Source organism: Homo sapiens, chromosome X (genome assembly GCF_000001405.40).
Source record: "Homo sapiens chromosome X, GRCh38.p14 Primary Assembly".
Taxonomy (NCBI): Eukaryota; Metazoa; Chordata; class Mammalia; order Primates; family Hominidae; genus Homo; species Homo sapiens.
In genome coordinates this window covers 71363895-71388972 of record NC_000023.11, presented here as the reverse complement: position 1 = coordinate 71388972, position 25078 = coordinate 71363895, and the positions used below count along the sequence as shown (strand labels likewise).

At 44.3% G+C, this 25078-nt stretch overlaps 1 protein-coding gene across 30 annotated transcripts in view, besides 5 other annotated features; it reads right to left on the bottom strand.

The window, feature by feature from the left end:
* Positions 1–22616, bottom strand: part of TAF1 (TATA-box binding protein associated factor 1) — a 164169-nt gene extending 141553 nt beyond the window's left edge. For 23 of the 30 annotated variants that reach the window (NR_104395.2, NR_104391.2, NR_104392.2 and 20 more), the window contains exons 1-17: positions 22479–22616; positions 21360–21474; positions 20803–20919; positions 13687–13806; positions 11782–12023; positions 11152–11370; positions 10520–10738; positions 9942–10149; positions 7054–7230; positions 6310–6437; positions 6105–6212; positions 5809–5982; positions 4838–5011; positions 3924–4028; positions 1512–1712; positions 595–736; positions 105–235 (exon numbers count right to left, since the gene is read on the bottom strand). Coding sequence is in view for 21 of the 30 variants with exons in the window: in NM_001440852.1 (NP_001427781.1) it covers positions 105–235; positions 595–736; positions 1512–1712; positions 3924–4028; positions 4838–5011; positions 5809–5982; positions 6105–6212; positions 6310–6437; positions 7054–7230; positions 9942–10149; positions 10520–10738; positions 11152–11370; positions 11782–12023; positions 13687–13806; positions 20803–20919; positions 21360–21474; positions 22479–22598 (2700 nt within the window). In the remaining 9 variants the exon portion in view is untranslated. Of the gene's footprint in view, positions 1–104; positions 236–594; positions 737–1511; positions 1713–3923; positions 4029–4837; positions 5012–5808; positions 5983–6104; positions 6213–6309; positions 6438–7053; positions 7231–9941; positions 10150–10519; positions 10739–11151; positions 11371–11781; positions 12024–13686; positions 13807–20802; positions 20920–21359; positions 22424–22478 lie in introns of those variants that run through there. The other 7 variants (NM_001440854.1, XM_047442393.1, NM_138923.4 and 4 more) reach the window with 2 other exon arrangements.
* Positions 21311–22006: an enhancer, noted in NCBI's record as "H3K27ac-H3K4me1 hESC enhancer chrX:70586817-70587512 (GRCh37/hg19 assembly coordinates)". NCBI's record gives its function as "activates a minimal SCP1, AML or CMV promoter by ChIP-STARR-seq in primed H9 embryonic stem cells {active_cell/tissue: H9 hESC(primed)}" and the evidence as "EXISTENCE:reporter gene assay evidence [ECO:0000049][PMID:30033119]".
* Positions 22525–22574: an enhancer, noted in NCBI's record as "active region_29743". NCBI's record gives its function as "activates an Ori minimal core promoter by ATAC-STARR-seq in GM12878 lymphoblastoid cells {active_cell/tissue: GM12878}" and the evidence as "EXISTENCE:reporter gene assay evidence [ECO:0000049][PMID:35858748]".
* Positions 22735–22924: a silencer, noted in NCBI's record as "silent region_20897". NCBI's record gives its function as "represses an Ori minimal core promoter by ATAC-STARR-seq in GM12878 lymphoblastoid cells {active_cell/tissue: GM12878}" and the evidence as "EXISTENCE:reporter gene assay evidence [ECO:0000049][PMID:35858748]".
* Positions 23065–23114: an enhancer, noted in NCBI's record as "active region_29742". NCBI's record gives its function as "activates an Ori minimal core promoter by ATAC-STARR-seq in GM12878 lymphoblastoid cells {active_cell/tissue: GM12878}" and the evidence as "EXISTENCE:reporter gene assay evidence [ECO:0000049][PMID:35858748]".
* Positions 23283–23852: an enhancer, noted in NCBI's record as "H3K27ac hESC enhancer chrX:70584971-70585540 (GRCh37/hg19 assembly coordinates)". NCBI's record gives its function as "activates a minimal SCP1, AML or CMV promoter by ChIP-STARR-seq in primed H9 embryonic stem cells {active_cell/tissue: H9 hESC(primed)}" and the evidence as "EXISTENCE:reporter gene assay evidence [ECO:0000049][PMID:30033119]".

The window sequence follows — 25078 nt, the reverse complement described above, 5'->3', positions numbered from 1 at the left end:
TAAGCCAGTCAGAGAAAGAATCTTCTCTCTCATCTCTCTGGGGGGAAGAAAAAAAAAAACAAAAAACCACAGGCATAAGTGGTGTCTAAGAGGAAGGTGTTCACCTTCAGTCGTTGCTCTGCAGCTATCATGCTATAATAAGCACAGCACTGCTCTGGTGACACCATAGCTCTGATCTCTTCTTCCGTTGGTAAACGAAAATCAGACTTAAGCACCCACCAGTTTGAGTCCATCCCTGGAAAAGACATATACATAGAGAATGAGACCATTCTGAATTCCAAAGGCCCTGATATTTATTGACAGCAACAGGGACAGCAAACCAAAACTGTAACAGGCCTAGCCACAGTTGGCATGACTGGCCAAGAAAACCCCAGCTGCTAAGTTTCCTACAACTCATAGAAGATATCCAACAATCACATTAAACTTCCTGGCAGCCAAATTCAAAAAAGCAACCAGAGTGTTAGAAGATCTGCTACCTCCTTTCAACAGCCATCAATTTCTATTTTATTAACTATATGCTTATCCTTTAACTCAAAGCCATCAAAATTCTTTTCTTGGAAAAAGGCAGACAAATAACTAGTCACAACAGACGACCTGTGCGTTTGAAGTCAGCGCAGAGCTTTAGCCTCTTCCGGATGCTGCTTTCTGAATGGGAAGGAAAGGCTTTTTTTATATCTTCCATTCGTATCCTCCGTGGCCGATCTTTACTTTTCCAGAAAAGGCGGTAAATAAAAACCTGCCCAACAAACCAAGTGTATTTTATTTGGCAAAGAAAAGGATAAAAGTCCTCACTAGGGCCTCTTCCTTTGCTAAGCTCTAATGTATTTTCATCTTTCCCGATGTGCTCCCAAACCCACACAGCCTACTTTTTCTGAGACGGAGTCTCGCTCTGTCACCCAGAGTAGAGTGCAGTGCCTTGATCTCAGCTCACTGCAACCTCTGCCTCCCGGGCTCCAGTGATTTTCCTGCCTCAGCCTCCAGAGTAGCTGGGACCATAGGCGTGCGCCACCATGCCTGGCTAAATTTTTTTTTTTTTTTTGAGACTGAGTTTCACTCTTGTTGCCCAGGCTGGAGTGCAGTGGTGCGATCTCGGCTCACTGCAACCTCCGCCTCCTAGGTTCAAGCGATTCTCCTGCCTCAGCCTCCTGAGTAGCTGGGATTACAGGCATGTGCCACCACGCCTGGCTAATTTTGTATTTTTAGTAGAGACGGGGTTTCTCCATGTTGGTCAGGCTGGTCTCAAACTCCCAACCTCAGGTGATCCGCCCACCTCGGCCTTCCAAAGTGCTGGGATCACAGGCGTGAGCCACCACGCCCAGCTAATTTTTGTATTTTTAGTAGAGACAGGGTTTCACCATGATGGTCAGGCTGGTCTCGAACTCCTGACCTCAAGTGATCCATTCACCGCGGCCTCCCAAAGTGCTGGGATTACAGCCATGAGCCGCCATGCCCGGCCCCAACATACCCTTTCTGTATACAACCCAATCCCCTCCCTATCCTCCCATTCTTACCTGTAGAAAGTCTCGAATATGCGTATTGGCCCTTTTGGAGTTAGGCCCAGGAACTTCAAACAAGGGACACTGCTGGCCAACCACAAAAATATCCACTAATTCCCGAATATAGTAACCCTGTCTTGTCCGAATGATCAAGAAATCAGTTTCTGGCATCTTATGAAGATAAATTGGAGCACGAAAAAGGTTGTTCTCAAATGCCTAACAAAAGTAAAAACACAAAAATTATATACAGAGTAGCCCTAGGAAATTCAGTCAACTGCTGAGAAAGAAATACCAAGCTTATTGCTCTCCATCTTAATTACGCCATCTAAGGTCTATCCAGTAATACAAATAAATTAAAATATAGATTATCAAATGTGACTAAACAATTTTTCATCCACTATCTTTCAGAGTCAGTAGGGGAGAAAATACAGGATGTGAATTCAGATGATGCTAGCTCTGCCATTACCTCTATGATTTAACATGTCTATTTAAGCTATTTAACATGTCTAAGTTTAGTTTTCCTCATCTACAAAACAGAGATACTTAAAAATGCCTATACCTCACAGGACTGCTATGAAGATTACATATGAAAATCACTTCATAATGTACCAAGTACTATACTACTACCCTAGACCCCAGTGTAGCCCAACACACAACGTGTGAGAGCAACATTTGTTGAATAAATTATTAAACTAATTAAAAAACAAAACAACGCCGGGCACAGTGACTCATGCCTGTAATCTCAGCACTTTGGGAAGCCGAGGCAGGTAGATCACTTTACCTCAGGAGTTCAAGACCAGCCTCGGCAACATGACAAAACCCCATCTCTACAGAAAATACAATAATTAGCTGGATGTGGTGGCGTGCGCCTATTGTCCCATCTACTTGGGAGGCTGAGGTAGGAGGATGGCTTGAGCCCAGGAGGCAGAAGTTGCAGTGAGCCAAGATCGTGCCACTGCACTCCAGCCTGGGTCACAGAGCCAGACCCTATCTCCAAACAAATAAATCATAAAACAACCAATGAGGTAGAAAGAGTGCTAGACAGAATAGGCTGGGAAAAAACAAAAGGAAAACACAAGACAGTAGGACAGAGGACAGCTGAACAGAAACATTTGAGCCAGTTTAAGTAGAGGCAAGATAGGGATAAACTGTCACAAGAAGCCTGAGTCTAAGGAAAGCCTTCCCCGAAAATCAGAAGAGTAGACAGAAAGAGGGAAGACCATCACTGAGTGTGGAAAGAAAATTCTACATGTGAAATATAGGCAGAAAAAGAATTACAGAAGAATACAGAAAAAGATCTTTTTTTTTTTTTTTTGAGATGGAGTTTCGCTCTTGTTGCCCAGGCTGGAGTGCAATGGCGCGATCTCGGCTCACTGCAACCTCCACCTCCCGGGTTCAAGTGATTCTCCTGCCTCGGCCTCCCGAGTAGCTGGGATTACAGGCATGTGCCACCATGCCCGGCTAATTTTGTATTTTGAGTAGAGGCAGAGTTTCTCCATGTTGGTCAGACTGGTCTCGAACTCCTGACCTCAGGTGATTCGCCCACCTCGGCCTCCCAAAGTGCTGGGATTAACAGGCGTGAGCCACCACGCTCGGCCAGAAAAAGATCTTTAAGAGACTACAAAAGTAGCCACAAAAGAAGAGGCTGAATTGGTAGAAAACCTCAACAGAAAGTTCCAGGGAAAGGAGAAGAACAATACAAAGATGATACTAAACATCCGGTTAGCAATAGACTATGAATGTAAAGGATAAAGAAAAAAACTGAGCTTTGCAGATGCTTTAGGAGAATAAACAACAACAACAGTAGAATAAACTAGGTATAAGAGTAGGACAAATGGTTAAGATTGCCAAGAGAAATGAAATGGAGAAAAAAAACAAGATGGGAGAGTGCTAGAGATTTTCCACATCATTTGTGGACCATCATACTTCCCCCCTTGAATATATAAAAGCTGTTATAAGAGAGCCTCTTTACACCCATTAGAACAAAGGAGGGAAAAAAAAAGCATTTCACTATGGCTGGGGACTGTAGATGGCACAGTTCAGGTGTGGTTCAATATTCACAATAACCACAGCTAATGTGATCAAAATGTTATCAATTTTATACACAAAAATTAAATATTCATAAATTATAGTAAATTTATAGTAAATTCATCCTAGGTTGACTTCCTTATGCTTCCCAGATGTTACTGAGCTTACCAGTGTGTATTTTTAAAAACCTATTTTACATTTAGCCTGAGAATAACACAATTCACAGCCAGTTTTAAGAAAAAGATTTCTTTAAAACATTTTTGGATTATACTTATTTTCTTTGTACTTAAAATTAAAGCATCTCAATCAACTAGAATTATAATAGTTCTTTCTGAGCTGACTGGTTCCTCATTTATCAATTTCCTTAGTTAACAGTAAAAACAGGAAAGAATTCCTCACTTGCAGCAATTGGCCAGGATGGAGAGAACCCAGGAAAGGAGATGTATGGCAGTAAACAGTTTCCCCATATTTACAATCTGGTGCTCCAGGATCTTTTCCAGGTTTCTATAAGGAACACAGAAGACCCAGTTATTTAGAATATATCAATAATCCTACACAATATGACCATAGCACTTTACTAATACAGGTTGAGTATCCCTCATCCAAAATGCTTGTGACCAGAAGTGTTTCGGATTTTGGAATAGTTGCATTATACTTACCAGTTGGGCATCCCAAATCTGGAAATCCAAAATGCTCCAATGAGCATTTGAGTATCATCATAGTGCTCAAAAAGTTTAGGATTGGCCGGGCATGGTGGCTCATACCTGTATCTCAGCACTTTGGAAGGCCAAGACGGGCAGATCACGAGGTTAAGAGATCGAGACCATCCTGGCCAACATGATGAAACCCTGTCTCTACTAAAAATACAAAAATTAGCTGGGTGTGGTGGCACACGCCTGTAGTCCAGCTACTCAGGAGGCTGAGGCAGAAGAATTGCCCAAACCCAGGAGGTGGAGGTTGCAGTGAGTGGAGATCATGCCACTGCACTCCAGCCTGGCAAAAGAGCAAGATTCAGTCTCAAAAAAAAAAAAAAAGTTTTGGATTTTGATTTCGAATTTTGAGATTTGAGATGCTCAACATGTTATAACTACAAAAAAAGGTACCACTCCTTTCTCCCAAGAAATTTATGGTATATGTTCACAGATTACCAGTAGATCTCTAACTACAGCTACGTTAATAATAAAAAATTTGTATGTAAGTTTGCAGTTTGTCTCACTACAGCTATGTTAATAACAAAAAGTTTGTACATAAAAGTTTATGGAAGCATAAGCAGAATTATGTATGGGAAAAAAATTTTCTGAGCAGAGACTCACCCGTTTATAATAGTTCTTTATCTTGGTTGCCATGCCAACCTGCATCATTAAGGGTCCATTTTCCTCACTATATTCTGCAAGAATAAGATCACCATCTTTGCCTGTGAGGTCCTGAGGTGTGCGCATAAAAAACATCTCTCCACCACCTGAAGCTTGCCTCTCTTGTTCTCTCATCTGTCCAGAACAAAGAAAATACCATCTAGCTCCTGACAGGACACTACTACACACAATGACGTTGTTCAATCTGAGACAAACACACCAAAAACATTTTACCTATTTTCCAATTTCATAATCAAAATTTTCAAACATACTGTAAAGTTCAAAGAATAGTACAGTCGGCCCTCCATATCCATGTATGGGTTCTGCATCCGTGATTTCAACCAACCATAGATAGAAAATATTCAGAAAATACAAGTGCATCTGTGCTGAACAGGTACAGACTTTTCTTGTCATTATTCCCTAACCAATAACAGTGTTAACAACTATTCACATAGCATTTACATTGGAGTAGGTATTATAAGTAATCTAGAGGTGATTTAAACTATAGGAGAGGATGTGCATAGGTTATGTGCAAATATTATGCTATTTTATCAGAAACTGGAACATCTAAAGATTTTGGTATCCAGAGAAGGTCCTAGAACCAATCTCCCAGAGATAACGAAGGACGACTGTACTATGAACACTTATTATCCCACGTCGCTGTTTATATTTCGCCATTTTTTTAAACTTTTATCTTTCTATAGACTTTGCTGGACAGTTTTTGAAAGATGCAGTCATTCTGACACCTCACCTTTAAATATTTTCACATGCATCACCTAACAATAAAGACATTCTCCTAAATAACCAAAATAACATTCTATCACATCTGAGAAAATAACCAATTCCCTAATACAATCTAATACCTGGTACATTCCCTTAATTTATACCCCAATATCCTTTATAGCTGTTTTCTAACCAGAATTCAATTATACCTTGGCCTTTTTTTTGATGTGCTTTAGCAAAGGTTGGACTGAGTGGGGACCTGGCTGAGAAAGTGCACCAAATGAGTACTTTTTCAGAGGTGGGCGATGGAACTGCCGGAGTTTGATGGGCCCCATGTGGGTGGGAAAGAAGGGCTGCCGTAATTCCACAGCAGGAATTGAATGCTAAAACAGGAAATAGAAGGGTTAAAATTAGCTAATTCCATCCTAAGCAAGATTTTCCCATATCCTCCGTCAGAACAAAGCCATGGGGTTCTCCTCTATCACAGAAAAGACACTATTTGTACCTGGATAATATTCCCTCCAAAGGTGCCTCGAAGACCCTGTTGCTTGGGATAATAATACTCATCATTGGAGAGATTCCATGGATCTTTCACTTCTGGCTGAGACATGTTCTAATGATAGATAATCAAACAAATCTCGGTCAGACTATCCTTCTCTATTACCTTTCTTTGTTCTTCTAAACACCAAGCCCCTTTTTTCTTCACACACCTGCTGTGGTTCCTCCTTGATGACTCCTGTTTTCCCTAAGAGAATTCGACTCTTCTTCAGAGATGATTCCTTCTTACTCTCCTTGGAGGGGGAGTTAGAGGTGGCCTCTTCCTTCTCATCAGGAATTTCTGAGAATAAAACAAAAATCACTTGAGTTGCTCTCCCTGAAGATTCACCTTTCCTACAGACAAGTATCCAGTTTTCTTCTTTAAGGTGACGGATGTTCCAGTGAAGGTCTTAACTAGACCTTTCATCCCACCCCCCCCCAGGTAACTTCTAGTCCACGATTTACTAACTGAACTACACCTGTATCTTTTCATCCCATCCCAAATCACTTCTAGTACATGATTCACTAAGTGAACTACACGCTTGACATCTCAAAGGTACTACTTTCCGACAGTCCTACATGAGTTTTCCCTAGGGAATACACAAATAATAAAAACTAACTGCCACAATTTTGCTCTCTCAAACTGCTACCTAGAAGTTTCGAGTCCATGATTCACTAACGGAACAAACTATGCTCTTGACATCTCAAAGTTGCAACTTTCCAACATTCCTACGTGAGTGTTCCCTAAGCATATACACAAATAATATAAACTAACAGCCAAAACTTCGCTCTCTCAAGCCGCTACCTACAGGTTTCTAGTCCTAATCATCTCCAACCCTTCTGATTTCCTCCTGCCCGTTGACATTAACAGCAAGTTTTCAAAGGAGAAGAAACACTGGCCTCTGCCAGTAATATACCCAAAATGAGGTTCTCATCATTGGGATCAAGTGTCAAAACAGGAGGTTCCAACAGCCGGGGCATGGCCTGAGCATCCCAAATGATATTGTCCTCCCAGCGTCCATATACCAGATCCTCATTGTCAATGGGAAAAATGGAGTACCAAGGTTTGTCATCATCAAGAGTGGCTGCAAAACCTAGTCAAAGTGCAAGGAGGAAATAGTAACAGAGAAAACATTTATGCCCCTTTCAATCAAGATTCTGGCAAAGATAAAAAGAGTTACTCATGTTAGTAGAGCGAGTTAGTGGAGTTATTCATGTGTCCACTGAAAAGGAACCTACACAGTGTATTTCTCACTTTAAAATAATGTTGCAGGCTCAGCACGGTGGCTCACACCTGTAATCACAGCATTTTGGGAGGCCGAGGCAGGTGGATCACTTCAGGTCAGGAGTTCAAGACCAACCTGACCAACATTGAGAAGCCCCATCTTTACAAAAAATACAAAAATTAGCTGGGTGTGGTGGCACATGCCTGTAATCCCAGCTACTCAGGAGGCTGAGGCAGGAGAATCACCTGAGCCCAGGAGGCAGAGATTGCAGTGAGCTGAGATCGTGCCATTGCACTCCAACCTGGGCAACAAGAGTGAAATTCTGTCTCAAAAAATAAATAAATAAAAATAATGTTGCAGTCAAAAATGTCCACTGCAATACTGTTTATAATAGTTGAAATTTAAATAGCCTAAATGTTTAAGAAGGAATTGGTTAAATTATGACAATAAATGATATGGTAAAGTATGCTAACAATAAATGGTAATAAATTGTATTAACAAATGCAACATGTTATCGGTAAATTATGAAACATTCGTAATAGTAATATATAACCCATAAAGTGGGCAGAATGGAAGGGAAAAAACCTATTTCTTAGGTTTTAAAAATCAGACATTTTTGTATCCGGGTGTGGTGGCTCACGCCTGTAATCCCAGCATTTTGGGAGACCAAGGCAGGCAGATCACTTGAGGTCAGGAGTTCAAGACCAGCCTGGCCAACCTGGTGAAACCCCGTCTCTACTAAAAATACAAAAATTAGCTGGGCACAGCGGTGCACGCCTATAATCCCAGCTACTCGGGAGGCTGAAGCACAAGAATCACTTCAACCTGGGAGGCAGATGTTGCAGTGAGCCAAGATCGCGCCAACACATTCCACCCTGGGCGACAGAGACTCTTGTCTCAAAAAAGAAAAAATTTTGTTTTTCCTCCAAAATATAAAAGTAATCCAGCTTTCTATGTTTATATAGTCTGCTTTTTTTCATTTACACTAATAGGATATCATATATGTTGTTTCATATCTTCTTTATTTCCATTTAAAATGAGTTTCTCAAGCCAGACGTGGTGGCATGCCCCTGAAGTCTTGGCTACTCGGGAGGCTGAGGCAGGAGGATCACCTGAGCCCAGGAGTCCAGCCTGACCAACAATAGCAAGACTCTACCTCTACAAAAAATAATAATTTAATTAAAATAAAATGAACGAGTTTCCCATGTCATTAAACATTTTTATAAAGAACTCTAAATGACACAAAAATATTTATGTGGCTGGGTGGGGTGGCTCTTGCTTGTAATCTCAGCACTTTGGGAGACCGAGGCAGGAAGATCACTTGAGTCTAGGAGTTTGAAACCAGTCTGGGCAACAAAGTGAGGCCCTGTCTCAACAATGAAAAATAAAAAATGAAAGAGAGAAAAATATTTAGTAAGTGAAAAGCACAGTATGCAAAACTGTACATACGGAAATGAGCTCAACTACATACACACACAGAACACTGAAAATACACCAAAACTTAACAGTTGATAATCTCCAGATAGATTACCAGTGACTTTAACACTATACTGTATTTTCAAAGTTTTTTACATTAATCATGGCATACCTTAAAAAAAAAAACCTATTTAAGGAGAAAAATAGGAAACTAGAATTCTAAATACAAAGGGACTTGGGAACAAAAATATACTATAAAGTACTGTTATAGTTCAGAAAGATCTTTAACTTCAGGCCAGGCGTGGTGGCTCATGCCTGTAATCCCAGCACTTTGGGAGGCTGAGGCAGGTAGATCACCTAAGGTCGGGAGTTCGAGACCAGCCTGACCAACATGGAGAAACCCCATCGCTACTAAAAATACAAAATTAGATGGGCATGGTGGCGCATGCCTGTAATCCCAGCTACCCGGGAGGCTGAGGCAGGAGAATCGCCTGAGCCCAGGAGGGAGAGATTGCAGTGAGCTGAGATTGCGCCACTACACTCCGGCCCAGGCAACAGAGCAAGCAAGACTCCGTCTCAAAAAAAAAAAAAAAAAAAAGATCTTTATCACATGTTTTTAAGAAACCTGAGTCTGGCCTAGCTTCTTAACAGGGCAAAAAATTACATGGACTATCTTCCTCCAGGTTGAGCATAAAAATAAAATAAAAATTACAGGGACTAGAATTAGGCCTCAGATCCTAAAAATTTCACTATCTCTTGGCAGCTCAGAACATCACAGCCAGCCGGGCGTGGTGGCTCACACCTGTAATCCCAGCACTTTGGGAGGCTGAGGCGGGTGATCACCTGAGGTCGGGAGTTCGAGACCTGCCTGACCAACATGGAGAAACCCCATCTCTACTAAAAATACAAAAATTAGTCAGACATCGTGGTGCACGCCTGTAATCCTAGCCACTCCAGAGGCTGAGGCAGAAGAACCGCTTGAACTGGGGAGGCGGAGGTTGCAGTGAGCCGAGACTGCACCATTGCACTCCATCCTGGGCAACAAGAGCGAAACTCTGTCTCACCGAAAAAAAAAAAAAAAAAAAAAAATCACAGCTGAGCCCACTTATGGTGACTAAGATTAAGGGCAGTATCTGCTAGACACAGCTGGCACAGAAGCACACCTTGCTGAACATTGTAAGCCATCGCATTCCTAGTCATGCTAGAAGGAAGCCAGCCTGCCAGGCTTGCACGCTGAGGTTTTGTCCCTTTGTGTTTGACATCCTCCCCATCCCAGATGATATCATCCTCCCAATGCAGCTGTGTCACCATCAGGAAGTTTTCATCAGCCAGAAGATCAGTGCCATTGTTTTCCTCAAGTTTCCTAAATTCCTGTGTAAGTAGGGAAGAAAAAACACATCCTTGATTGGTCACTGGTCAAGGTTTCCACTCCAAATTCCACATTAAAGATACATCAGACACATTGTAAGTGGTCCTTTACTTGAAACAACCACCTGATAACGGAGGAATATTTGCCTCTTCCCACTCCTAGTCTGGCACAGCATTCATTTCACAAACAGAATCCTTAGAATAGGACCTAGCTACCAGGGTGATACACCATACCAAATAAAAGGCTGAGACACCTCAATCTCCCACCAAAGAAACCCTACCACCCAGTATCTCCCCAATTAAAGAGTAAAGTTAGTAAAAGTAATAGGACCTGAGTACATTGATTCCTTTCTTACATACCAGTGTTGCTCACCTCTATCATTCTAGATTTTATCACAGGTTCATGTTCTGTCTTTCTCAGTTTGAAGCCATAGTCAAACCCACTGCCATCTTCAGGGACACCCAGCATATCATACCACAGTCGGGCAGGCCCATAACGCCACTCAGCCACTCTTGGTTTGGTATCTGTCACTTTATCTATATCTCCAGTTGATTGGGAAAATTTGGACTCCACAGGAGCCATCATCGTGATCTGTAACAGAAGAAAGAAGTAGAGCAGGGAGAATTTCCTGATCCCAGATGTCCTAAGGCTATAGAGAGTTAACAGTCAGGAGGGGAACTTAGAGAAACTGAGGATGATTTACCTGGAGTTAGAATGTAAACAATGGAGATGTATCATAGCACATTCCACCTATCAATCAAACCTTCTTATTCAGCAGCATATCACCATCTACCCCTCTCATCCCCGCCTACCCCACCAAACATTTTTCTTTTACAATAGGGAAGGGGCAGCCACTGAGATTGAACCCATGATTACTCATTGAAAATTAGCACAGATTCTATCTGCTATGGTATTATTTACAATTTAGACATAAATTAGGGAGAACTCATTGAATTCATTTGTTCCTCTCATAGGCCTTAATCTCAGGTCTCTATTTTGCCTACTTCATCATCAGAGAGACACTGCTCTGGAGGTGGTGGTGGAGCGTAGTCGTAGTTCCACAAAGACTTCTGGCTGACTTCTGATTCTACTGAGCACTCCACCTCCTGGATCTGCTCTTCCTGTATCAGCTCACGGTGCTTCTTCTTCCTCTTTCTCCGAGCACTCCGCCAAACAGATGGGACATTCTTCCCTGGTCCAAAAAGACGTAGAAAACGTAACACCTAGAACACAGAATACATTACTATGACACAGACTCAAAGTCAGATGGGAAAACAGCAGCATCTGGGCCTGAAAACTCCCTTGAGAGATCTCTTCAAATGTGGGGGAGAAACAAAGGAGTGTCGCATTCAGACTTGTAACGTCTAAGAAAGTAAAGAAGCGTTCCTTAATAATTTGGGCTAGTTCTTTTAAGATAACAGAGAAATTTCCAATGAGAACAGCATAAATCACATTTACTATCAATACATACAACTTTAAAAAAAAGACCTAATACAGTGTGAAGAGCTCTTATGTAGCCAATAATATGTCACTGAGTAAGGAAACCCCATTCCATACTCAGCATCTTAACAACAAAACTCATTATTTGGAAGAGGTCAGTGGTTTGCAATCTGAGCATTCTCCACAGAATGTACCTTTCCAGGTCGAAATTCTGGAAAAAGTTCTGTGACACTTGGCAACAGCTTGGTGGCATCATGCTGCATAATCCCAGCCAATGGAAGGGTCAGCTTTCCATCTTCAGATTCTGCCTGTGTTGCTTCCTGAGGTCCCATCTCAGATTCTGAGTCAGAGGAACTACTGAAGTCCACTTTCTCTGAGGCCAAAGAGGAAGGGGCAATGATGGAGGGCAAGATGATGCCTTCTCCATTTTCAGACACTGCAACAAGGAAGAGAAACCCCTTTGGCATGTAACTGTGAACATATTTCCTCGAATTCCGCAAACACCCACTTTAGGCTATACACATGGCTCAATGCCAGGAGATATAGGCCCAAGCACCCAAATCATAATACTAGTATGCAACCCAGAAAACTCATTCTAACTCGTTATCTCCCATCGTCCCCCAACTCACCACGTACCTGGTACCCTAGGGTTGTGATGAGAAAACAAACACTATTACTACATTTACTACTTTCCGATTTTTTGTTGTTTTTTTTTTTTTGAGACAGAGTCTTGCTCTGTCGCACAGGCTGGAGTGCAGTGGTGAGATCTTAGCTCACTGAAACCTCTCTCTCTCGGGTTCAAGTGATTCTCCTGCCTCAACCTCCTGAGTAGCTGGGATTACAGTCATGCGCCACGACAGCTGGCTAAATTTTTGCATTTTTAGTAGAGACGGGGTTTCACCATCTTGGCCAGTCTGGTCTTGAACTCCTGACCTCAAATCATCTGCCTCCACCTCCCAAAGTGCTCGGATTACAGGTGTGAGCCACCACACCTGGCCCTACTTTCTGATAAGTAACCAATATTGTAACCAATGTTGTGACCAATAGCAAAACTATGTAATACTTTATACCACTCAGGTAGTCCTAGTTCAGAGACTCATGAGCTGGAGAATTTTTTTAAGCCCACGGGACAACATTAAGGTTCTTTGGCATAAATAAGATCTATAAAACAAAGTTAACAGCTGACATTTAGCAGACTGTTAAAAGAAATGGCTTAAAACTCCAACAGGAAGAATTTAGGTTAATACAAGCCTCAAAATACAGGAGGTCAAAAACACTGCTCTTCCCCAGTTTTCAAGCCTAGGACAGTTACTGTTATAGGAATAGGTAAGATAAACACTGAAGACTCTACTAGCCTTTGAAATCTCTGAATATCTGGTAGTTGACACTATCTGATTTATCAACATTCCAGGGCACCTTCCTAATTTAACCACTTCATTTAAAATAAAGCCATCTAAACAAGTAGTTTCCAAATACCAGTATACAGATCAGTTGTATCATAAATTACTTAAGAAACTCTTTAAGATTCCCGGGTTCGGCAGGGAGCAGTGGCTCACGCCTGTAATCCCAGCACTTTGGAAGACCAAGGCGAGCGGATCACTTGAGGTCAGGAGTTCCAGCCCCTACTCTGGAGGCTGAGGCATGAGAATCACTTGAACCCGGGAGGCGGAGGTTGCAGTGAGCCAAGATCGTGCTACTGCACTCCAACCTGCACAACACAGCAAGACTCTTTCTCAAAAAAATTTTAATTAATTTAATTAAATTCCTGGACTCTACCCAAGATCTTCTGAATCAGGCTCAAGGGGTGAAAGTCAGGTATTTGTTTTTTTTTTTTAAAGATTCTAAGTGATTCTGATGGGTAGCCAGATTTGAGAACCACTGACTAAACTACTATTTCTTGAGCACATGTTAAAATACTGTTGCCAAATGTTTTAAAAGTAAAACTTCCCTTTAATACTAAAATTTGCGATTGTATGAATTATTTCTAGAAGTTTTGTCCCTTCATATAAGCTTAAGTTTGTCCCTTATGTGTGTGCCACAAGCCTGGACTTAGGAATGAAAACTTGCTCCTCAGACAAAAGTAGACAATCTCTACTTACCACCAGTAATAGAATCCTGGTCCTTATCCTTCTTCATTGGTCCCGGGGGTGGAGGTGGAGGAGGCATCAACTTGCAATCAATGTCTTCACAATCAGCATCATAGTCATCTTCATCATAATCTAATAAAACCAAGAAGGTGATCTCCTCAATATCCAAAATATTATACAACCGCCTTAAGCTTCCTTGCCACTCAATTTTTTTTTTTTTTTTGAGACAGAGTCTTGCTCTGTCGCCCAGGCTGGAGTGCAGCGGTGCAATCTCAGCTGACTGCAACCTCCACCTCCCGAGTTCTCCTGCCTCAGCCTCCTGAGTAGCTGGGATTACAGGAATGTGCCACCACGCCCAGCTAATTTTTGTATTTTTAGTAGAGACGGGGTTTCTCCATGTCGGTCGGGCTGGTCTCGAACTCCTGACCTTGTGATCCACCTGCCTCAGCCTCCCAAAGTACTGGGATTACAGGGCCACTCAATAATTTAAAGCACCACATGAAACACTATGCATATCCCTTAAGAACACACAAGTGAAAAAAGCAAGGTGAGGGCCAGGCATGATGGCTCACGCCTGTAATCCCAGCACTTTGGGAGGCCAAGATGGGCAGATCACTTGAGCCCAGAATTTCAAGACCAGCCTAAACAACATGGAGAAACCCCATCTCTACAAAAAATACAAAAATTAGCTAGGCGTGGTGGCACACGCCTGTAGTACCAGCTACTCAGGAGGCTGAGGTCGGGAGACAGTTTGAGCCCAGGAGGTCAAGGCTTTGATGAGCAGTAATCGTGTGACAGAGCAAGACCATGCCTCAAAATATTTTACATATCTATCTGAAACATAGCTTTAGCCTTCAGAAAGAGATGACATCACGGTGCAAGTCAATTGCTATAACATATATAATATCTCACACAAGATATGATGGCTGGGCATGGTGGCTCACGCCAGCACTCTGGGAGGCTGAGGCGGGCAGATCACCTGAGGTCAGGAGTTCAGAGACCAGCCTGGCCAACATGACAAAACCCCATCTCTGTCAAAAATACAAAAACTAGCCAGGAGTGGTGGCATGTGCCTGTAATCCCAGCTACTTGGGAGGCTGAGGCACAAGAAGCACTTGAACCGGGAGGTGAAGGTTGCAGTAAGCCGAGATTGCGCCACTGCACTCCAGCCTGGGCGACACAGTGAAACTGTCTCAAAAAAAAAAAAGAAAGAAAGAAAAGAAAAAATCATACAACATATGAAAGCGTTTCCAAGAGCTGCTTGAAACATTTGCTCCTTTCCTGACCATATCTTTTTTAGAATTTTCATACTGGGCCAGGCACAGTGGCTCGCACCTGTAATCCCAGCACTTTGGGAATCTTCTCCCTCTGTCAGTTTCCCTTAAGACTGGTCTTTCATCTCTCAAATGAGAGATGACACACTTTTTCTATCTGTCATCTGCAGTTTATTACTCTTTTCACTGCCCCTTAACCATTGGCATCACTCAAGAATTCGTCCTAAAGACTCTGCTTTTATTCCCCTATACGTTCCCTATTCCCTCTCTCAAGAATCACCTTCACCTAGATTAAACCCAAATCTACATATGCGGCCCTAATTTACCTCCTCTACAACTCCACGACTCTTCTGCTTCCTAAGGAAACTTTCTACTCAGATATTTAACAGCTGTACCTTATAAAACACTGAAATATCCTTTATCTCTTTTAAATTCCCTATCAACATCACATCCATATGCATTTTCCCAGCTTATGGCTTTAGTCCACTGTCTCCTTCATCAATCTCATAACCCCCAATATACATTTATCCAATTGATCATTACAAATAGTAAGTATAGGGCCAGTGAGGTGGCTCACACCTGTAATCCCAGCACTTTGGGAGGCTGAGGCGAGCGGATTGCCTGAGCTCAGGAGTTCAAGACCAGCCTAGGCAACATGGTGCAACTCAGTCTCCACTAAAATTCAAAAAATTAGCTGGGAGAGGTGGCACGGGCCTGTAGTCCCAGCTACTCAGGAGGCTGAGGCAGGAGAAATGCTTGAACCGGGGAGGCAGAGGTTACAGTGAACCGAGATTGCGCCACTGCACTCCAGCCTGGGCAACACAGTAAGATTCTGTCTCAAAAAAAAAAAAAAAAAAGTGGCCAGGCACAGAGGCTCACGCCTGTAATCCCAGCACTTTGGGAGGCTGAGGTGGGTGGATCACGAGGTCAGGAGATCGAGACCACCCTGGCTAACACTGTGAAACCCCGTCTCTACTAAAAATACAAAAAATTAGCCTGGCCTGGTGGTGGGTGCCTGTAGTCCCAGCTACTCCGGAGACTGAGGCCGGATAATGGCGTAAACCTGGGAGGCGGAGCTTGCAGTGAGCTGAGATCGCGCCACTGCACTCCAGCCTGGGTGACAGAGCGAGACTCTGTCTCAAACAAACAAACAAAAAAGTAAGTATAGCAACTTCCTACTACTAAACTTCCATTATGTGCCAGGCATTTCTAGCTGTTTTATGTATAATCCTCCCAATAACACTTCAAAACAGGAATTATCCTGAGATACGGAAGAGACTGAATTTTAAGTGACAAAATCAGAATGCAAGCCTGGTTTAACAACAAAGCCTACACTCTTTCCAACACAATTCCTCACTCACCAAGCCCTGTATTTTTTTTTTTTTGAGACAGGGGTCTTGCTCTGTTGCCCAGGCTAGAGCACAGAAGCTCAATCATAGCTCACTGCAACCTCCAACTCCTGGGCTCAAGTTATCTTCCCGCCACAGCCTCCTGAGTAGCTGGGACTATAGGCAACCAAGTCCTACGATACTTTATCAGTATCTTCTAAGTTTGACCCTAGCTATCTTTTTTTTTTTTTTTTTTTTTTTTTTGAGGCAGAGTTTCACTCTTGTCACCCAGGCTGGAGTGCCGTGGCATGATCTCAGCTCACTGCAACCTCTGCCTCCCGGGTTCAAGCGATTCTCCTGCCTCAGCTTCCCGAGTAGCTGGGACTACAGATGTGTGCCAACACACCCAGCTAATTTCTGCATTTTTAGTACAGACAGCATTTCACCATGTTGGTCAGGCTGGACTCGAACTCCTGACCTCAAGTTATCCGTCCACCTCAGCCTCCCAAAGTGCTGGGATTACAGGCGTGAGCCACCACGCCCAGCCTGACCCTAGGTATCATTTTCTACAACTGTCACCCTACTTCGGACCTTAATAACTTTACATCTCTAGCCTGCAAGAACAGCCTGCAAGTTGGTGTGACATTCACTCTTTTACTAATCAAAACCCCAGAGCGACAAGTATCACTCTTCTAAAGCCTCAGAAAGGGAAGCCTCTAAGACTGTAAACTAGCAAAGCAGAAAAAAAGGAAAGCCAACTAATATTTACAGAGCATTTACCATAATATTATACTATGTGCTTTTACATCATGTGATAATGAACTTCAATTCTCACAAAAGTGTGAATATTATCACCTTTACTACAGACAAGAAAACTGGGGGATTATTACAAATGAGAAATCCAAGCCTCAGAGATTCAGCAACCTGCTCAGGGTCACACTAAATATGGAGTTGGAATTTGAATCTATGACACTCTAAGCCTAGGACACTGACTCCAAAATCCTTTTCTTTTCATTATACCATCCTGCCTCTCACTCAACAGTCTATGTTGGTTTGCAATTCCTTATGTCATCAAATCCCAAGTAATGCATACATAAAGGTACTGTGAAATTGCTCTATCCTTGGTTCTTGCTATTTGGCAGCATGTTTTCTACTCCTTTCAAGAAAACCTACTGGCTAATTCCCCCTCCACACACACTACTTGCTTATTTCTAAATATCTCCAAACCTTTAGACAAGCCGTGTTTCCAAACCAAAATCCCCTGCTGCTCCTTCTCCACCAAACCTTGCCTCACTTTCAAAATTTTACTCAAAATTCACCTCCATGAAAGCTTTATTAGCAATCTACACCCACTTCCAATTATTCCAAAGAAGCACCCTTGTAAACCAAGCCATGCAAAGGAGCCAATGCCAAGGAAGGAAAAAACTAAGGGTATAGGTGAAGGCACCCCTAGAGGACAAGAGAACTTAGAAATGAGCATCCCAGAGTACTGAGATTCTGTCAAATGTAGCATCCTCCTTTTATAGGAAGTTAGCTCATAAAACTCACCTAGGGAAACTCCCAGCCTTTTCCTTACCATCCCTAGTCAAGACAACAAACACAAACCTGGAAATTATAACTTCTACTGAAAATAACTGCCACCATGTCCCCCCAGTCAGGGTGCCCAAAAATGACAGCTATTGACTTACCTATTCTTGCAGCCCATCAAAACTAAATGTAACACTCTATATACAGAAACATGATCTCATAGGTGGTTTGTCTTACTATGAATAATTGTTCTGCATTTGTTCACATCATCTTCCCCAAAAGATAACAATATCCTTAAAGGCAGGGCTTATATCTTCTATTTTTCGTGGGTTACTTTTTGTATATGCAACACAGTTAATTCTTTTCATATAAGTAGCACTCAAATCCATAAGCTGTCCCGAAAAAACTAAGTTCAAGTATTTACCAAGGTTTTATCTACATTTATCAGAAGCCTGAAATCTAGTTCGAAGAGGTGGACGATGAATAAATAACGAGCAACTTCACATAAAAGTTTCAAGCAGGCCAGGCGGGGTGGCTCACACCTGTAATCCCAACACTTTGGGAGGCAAAGGTGGGCGGATTACCTGAGGTCAGGAGTTCGAGACCAGCCTGGCCAAGATGGCGAAACCTCATCTCTACTAAAAATACAAAAAAAATTAGCCGGGAGTGGTGGCACATGCCTGTAGTCCCAGCTACTGGGGAGGCTGAGGTGGAAGAATCACTTGAACCCGGTAGGTGGAAGTTGCAGTGAGCTGAGATCACACCACTGCACTCCAGCCCTGGTGACAGAGAGAGACTCTGTCAGGTGGGGTGGGGTGGGGGAGTCTCAAGCAGTGAGAGGTAGAACAGGGCAGTGCCAAAAATGAACTATGGACCAATACCTCTAGATTCCAGACCACTAAATTGAACTTCTCAAGATCAGAAAATGGACTTCATTATCTTTTGAGACAGCATTTAGCTCTTGCCGCCCAGGCTGGAATGCAGCAGCATCATTTCGGCTCACTGCAACCTGCCCCTCCTGGGTTCCAGCCATTCTCACGCCTCAGCCTCCTGAGTAGCTGCGACTACAGGCACACGACATCATGTCCAGCTAATTTTTTTATTTTTAGTAGAGACGGGGTTTCTCCATGTTGCCTAGGCTGGTCTCGAACTCCTGGCCTCACGTGATCTGCCCACCTGGGCCCCCCAAAGTGCTGGGTTTACAGGCCTGAGCCACCACACCCAGCGGACTTCATTATCTTTGAAACACACTGCCTAGGCCAGGCACGGTGGCTCATGCCTGTAATCCCAGCACTTTGGGAGGCCGAGGCGGGTGGATCACGAGGTCAGGATATCGAGACCATCCTGGCTAACACAGTGAAACCCCATCTCTACTAAAAATACAAAAAAAAAAAAAATTAGCCAGGCGTGGTGGTGGGCGCCTGTAGTCCCAGCTACTCGGGAGGCTGAGGCAAGAGAATGGCATGAACCTGGGAGGCAGAGCTTGCAGTGAGCCAAGATTGCACCACTGCACTCCAGCCTGGGCAATAGAGCGAGACTCCGTCTCAAAAAAAAAAAAAAAAAAGAAACACACTGCCTATCAGTTTAGAGTACATAACAAGTGCTCAAACAATGTCTAACGAACTGAGCTAAATTAGTCAGTCTACTACTAGCTAATTGTATTACTTTTGATAAAATCCCACATTTTATTATAAAGTTCTCTAAAGTTCAAGTTTTCCTTTTCTACTAGAGATTACGAATAAATAATTCCTAAGACTCCTTCCACTCACTGACTCTACCTTCTAAGTCTGATGTTTTGATTCTACAATGTAGCACCCTATACCAGAGAGGAAAAAAACATATTTGCAAGCAGGTATCAAGTTCATTGTTTTAGGCAGGGTGCGGTGGCTCACACCTGTAATCCTAACACTTATGGAGACCGAGGGGAGCAGGGTCACTTGAGGTAAGGAGTTCGAAACCAATCTGGCCAACATGGTGAAACCCCTTCTCTACTAAAAATACAAAAAAATTGGCCAGATGTGGCCGGGCGTGGTGGCTCACGCCTGTAATCCCAGCACTTTGGGAAGCCGAGGCAGGCGGATCACGAGGTCAGGAGATCGAGACCATCCTGGCTAACACGGTGAAACCCTGTCTCTACTAAAAATACAAAAAAATAGCCGGGCTTGGTGGCGGGCCCCTGTAGTCCCAGCTACTTGGGAGGCTCAGGCAGGAGAATTGCTTCAAACCGGGAGGTGGAGATTGCAGTGAGCCGAGATCGTGTCACCGCACTCCAACCTGGGCAAGAAAGTGAGACACTCCGTCTCGGAAAAAAAAAAAAAAACAGTTGTTTTATATTGGGTTTTTTTTTTTTTTTTTGAGACGGAGTGTCTCACTCTTGCTGCCCAGGCTGGAGTGCAGTGGCACGATCTCGGCTCACTGCAACCTCCACCTGCCGGTTTGAAGCAATTCTCCTGCCTCAGCCTCCCGAGTACCTGGGATTACAGTCATGCGCCACCACGCCTGGCTAATTTTTTATTTTTAGTAAACGGGATTTCTCCATATTGGTCAGGCTGTCTCAAGCTCCCGACCTCAGGTAATCTGGTGAGCCACCACGTCCTGCCTTAGTTCATTGCTTATGTATGACGTTGTATCCTTCTTGAACTATCCATTCCTTAAGGGCAAAAACTGAATTTGTTTCATAGTTTCCAACTTTGAAGTGTATCTCACAAACCCTGTAGGTATTCAAATACCAGGTGACAAGAAAGCTACTTGTCATTAACTAAGAATTCATGACTGAACAGTGTGAGGAATAACCACATGAATACGGTTAAGACTGGCCAGAACACAAAAAAAGATAGCAGCTACTTGGAACTGACCTGACAAAGGGAGTGGAGGAGCCAAAGCAAAGGCATAGAGAGCAGAAACAATGGCAGACAGCGGGTATAGAAACCAGAGCCCAAACTGGACTATACAGCAGGATAATGCACTGGAATGTTCAAGCCAATACACCAAAGAATCACCTGAGTGGCAAAGGGGCTGCAAGCTCCCCATCGTCTGCTGGTATCTTCGGCTTTCATCTTCTGCCACCTCATTGATGTCTGAATAGTCCACAGCATCTTCTGTACTCCTAACCCACCCTATGAAAAAAGCAGGGAGAATCGCAACAACAGTAAGCGACCCTCACTCCCTCAGATAATTCCCATTTAAAAGTACATGTACAGGCTGGATGCGGTGGCTCACGCCTGTAATCCCAGCACTTTGGAAGGCCAAGCCAGACGGATCACCTCAGGCCAGGAGTTCAAGACCAGTCTGACCAATATGATGAAACCCTGTCTCTACTAAAAATACAAAAATTAGCCGGGCGTGGTGGTGCGTGCCTGTAGTCCCAGCTACTCAGGAGGCTGAGACAGGAGAAATGCTTGAACCCGGGTGGCGGAGGCTGCAGTCAGCCCAGATCGCCCCACTGCACTCCAACCTCGGAGACAGAGCGAAACTCCGTCTTACACACACAAAAAAGTACATACATAGTAGGTGGCTAGCCTCCTCCCCCGCCTACTCCCCACAACCCAGACTTCACCTTCATCATTTACCAAGGCACCGTCAGTCCCGGTCAATTCTTCATTTGCCGTGAGTTCAGTGATCAGGCTGCCCAGCCCCAAAGCCCCCAAGCCTGCCAAGTGCTTCTTACATTCCTGAAAAAGGGACAGCACGAGTCGAAGATAACAACTAAACCTACGACTCCCACACCACAGGACTTATTTCCCTGGTCCACGACAAAGTCACAAATCCACATGAAAAATGACTGTGCAGTGTGCCAAAACAAGCAACACGTTCGAGAACTGTAATATACATCTACCAAACTCCGCATCGATCAGATCTTTATTAAAGCACCACAGCCAACTGCATCGCCCACACTTTAAAGTATACTACAAGAGAAGACGAATCAAATAACTACTGCCAAGACTGAATGAATGGAACGGTCGTTCTCGGAACGAGGGCCGAGGCAGGGGGATCAGTGGGATTGGAGGCGTCGAGGCGGGGCTCGTTCGGTCCCTGTTTCGCATGCGCCTGCGGCACAGGAGGGGCCACAGCGGCCGACAGCTTCACTCCTCAAGAAAACGGGCCTAAGTGAAGGCAGGGTAGTTTCACTAGGGCGCAGGACACTATTTCACGAAAGTCAGTGAAGACGCTGGGAGAGCCACCTAAAAGGCGCACTGTGACCAGGAGGCCCGCTCGGGTGCTAGGAACACCCCATTGTCCTAAGCCTGAGGCCGGAACCAAACGAGCGGGAGGCAGGTCCTGTCCAGTCCTCTGGCTCTATAGAGCCATCTCAGGGCAGCGATGTCAGAGGGGCAGGCAGTGTCAAGAATCTCCAAGCAGGTTACGGGTGGGAAGCCATCTCAGTAGGCGAAACCAGCATGTGTCCTACTGTCTGGTCGGCAGAGCGCTAGCTCCAAAGCCACTATTCCCTGCGCCCCTGGCCCCGGGCTCGCCTCGCGCTCTCTTCTGCCCACTCTCCCCCAGAACGATCACTCCCACGCCACGTTGCTCCCGCACCCATGAGGACGGGATCCTCCTCCCCGGCGTTAGCTGCGCCCTGTTCTCGCTGCCTGAGCACCCTCTCCTTTCCTCCCCGCACCTCCTTCCTCTGCTTAGCCCCACCCCCCGAGCCCTACCCCCACGCCCACCCCCTCACATCATCCAAGACGCTTTCCCCCTCCAGCTGCCCGGCTCCATTGATGTTGCCGAAAAGGAAACCCGCTAAAGAAAATGGGCCGCCTCCAGCGGAATCTTCGTCGCTGTCCGTGTCTGACATGATGGCGGCAGCAGTGATGGTAGCTGCTGTCCGCAGCAGCAAATCGCAGCCGGGTCCCATAGACCGGAAATAAAACAACAGTCGCCCAGAAGTGACTTACTGAGCTCCCTTACCCTACCAGCCTCTACCGGAAGCTCAAAACAGAGGGGAAAGGGAGGGGGAAGTGGGGAGAGGGGAGGGGGAAGGGGGGGAAAACCCGGAAAGACCGGCTATCCTAAGAGAAAGAAGTAACTACTTTACTAACGGCTTTTGATTCGACGCTACGGGATCAGGAGGATGGATATGTGGAAAGCGGTTGGTCAAAGAAAATATTCAGTCCCGCCCGCTCCCACTGCTCCGCGCGCGAGCTTTCTCACGGCACCGAATTAGAGCAGTGGCTCTTCCTCCAATCAGAAGGAGCTGCTCGAGTCACGTGGCTTACGCGCAGGCAACCTCGGGTTCCTGTACCACAATACCCGGAAGTAAGGGTAAGAGCCGGTCTTTGTGCTGCGTGCAATTTCACCGGTCCGTCCCAAGGAGAGACTTGACGTAAATTATACAGGCATTCCCGAGCTATGCAGGTTACTTGTTTTGAGTTGACATTTTTCCCTAGAAATTGATTTTTTGACCGGACGCGGTGGCTTACGCCTGTAATTCCAGCACTTTGAGAGGCCGAGGTGGGAGGATCGCTTGAGCCCACGAGTATGAGGCCAGCCTGGACAAGAAAGCGAGACTCCATCCATACACAAAATCAAAAAAATTAGCCAGATGTGGTGGCCAGTGCCTGTAGTCCCAGCTGTTGGGGGGTCTGAGGTGGGAGCCAGGAGTTGGAGTCTGCAGTGACCTGTGATCGGGCCACTGCACTCCAGCCCGCCTCAAAAAAAATACTTGTTCCCCCAACGTTTTATTTCGGAAAATGTGAAAGTTTAGTAAAATGAACAGCTGACCCCTCACCTAGACTCACAATGGTTAACATTTTGCTAGGATTTTTGTTTTTCTAAACCATTTATGGGCATCTTGTTCTTCACTCCTAAAAATAAGCATCTTAACTATGGAACCAAAGTACCTTTATCACAACTTTAGGAAGTAAGTCAATATTATTTAAGGAAGAGTCCGCACTTAAATTTCCCCAGTTGTCCTAGTTGGAACATTTTACGGGGTTTCGTCATGTTGCACAGGCTGGTCTCAGACTCCTGGGCTCAAGCAATCTGCCCGTTTCAGCCTCCCAAAGTGCTGGGATTGCAGCCATGAGCCAACACCCCGGCTTTCACCTTGCTTTTTTCACATATTATGATAATATAGACTGAAATAATTTCTTTACCACATCATAGCACTCTTCCTCATTCTCCCTTTTTTCCAATACTAGGATCCATTCACGTTTCATGCATTGTATTTGGTCATCTTCCTTTAGTCCAGAATCACCTGCCTTCTTGTTTGTTTTTCATGACACTAAATATTTGGAAGAATCCAGGCAAGTTGTCTTGAAAACATTCCATGATCCGAATTTCTCTTGTTTCCTTTTTTTTTTTGAGACGTAGTCTCGCTCTGTTGCCCAGGGTGGAGTGCAGTGGTGCTATCTCGGCTCATTGCAAGCTCCACCTCCTGGGTTCACACCATTCTCCTGCTTCAGCCTCCCAAGTATCTGGGACTACAGGCGCCCGCCACCAAGCCCGGCTAATTTTTGTATTTTTGGTGGAGACGGGGTTTCACTGTGTTAGCCAGGATGGTCTTGATTTCCTGACCTCGTGATCCGCCCACCTCGGCCTCCCAAAATGCTGGGATTACAGGCGTGAGCCACCACACGCCCGGCCTTTTTTTTTTTTTCTTTTTTTGAGACGGAGTCTCTTGCTCTGTCTCCCAGGATAAAGTGCTGTGGTGCGATCTCGGCGCCACCACCCCTGGCTAATTTTTGTATGATTAGTAGAGCCGGGGTTTCACCATATTGGCCACACTGATCTCAAACTCCTGACCTCGTGATCCGCCCGCCTCAAGTGCTGGAAATTACAGGAGTGAGCCTCCGCGCCCGGCCCAGGTTAAATATTTTATCAGCCATCAGAAGGTACACTGTCAAATACAGTGTTGTCCTAGTATTGGTGATGCTAAATTTCATCACCTTGATAAAGTAGTCACCACCAGATTGCTCCATCACAAAGGTACAACCCTGTGTAATTACTAAGTAATCCACAGGTACTTAGAGATTGTGTGAATATTCTTTTTTTTTTTTCAGTCTTTTGGTACTGAGCCCATCCTTCTGCAGAATAAATTGTGAATATTCTTTTCCCCATTGACCTTGCACCCAATGTGGTTTTAGCATTCATTGATGTCCCTTGCCTAAATCAGTTATATTGGGAGAATGCGAAAGGATGATCTTTCTTTCTTTTTCTTATTTTTTTTTTGAGAAAGTCTCACTCTGTTGCCCAGGGTGGAGTGCACTGCCGACCTCCTTCTCCCGGGTTCAAGCGATTCTCCAGTCTCAGCCTCTTGAGTAGCTGGGACTATAG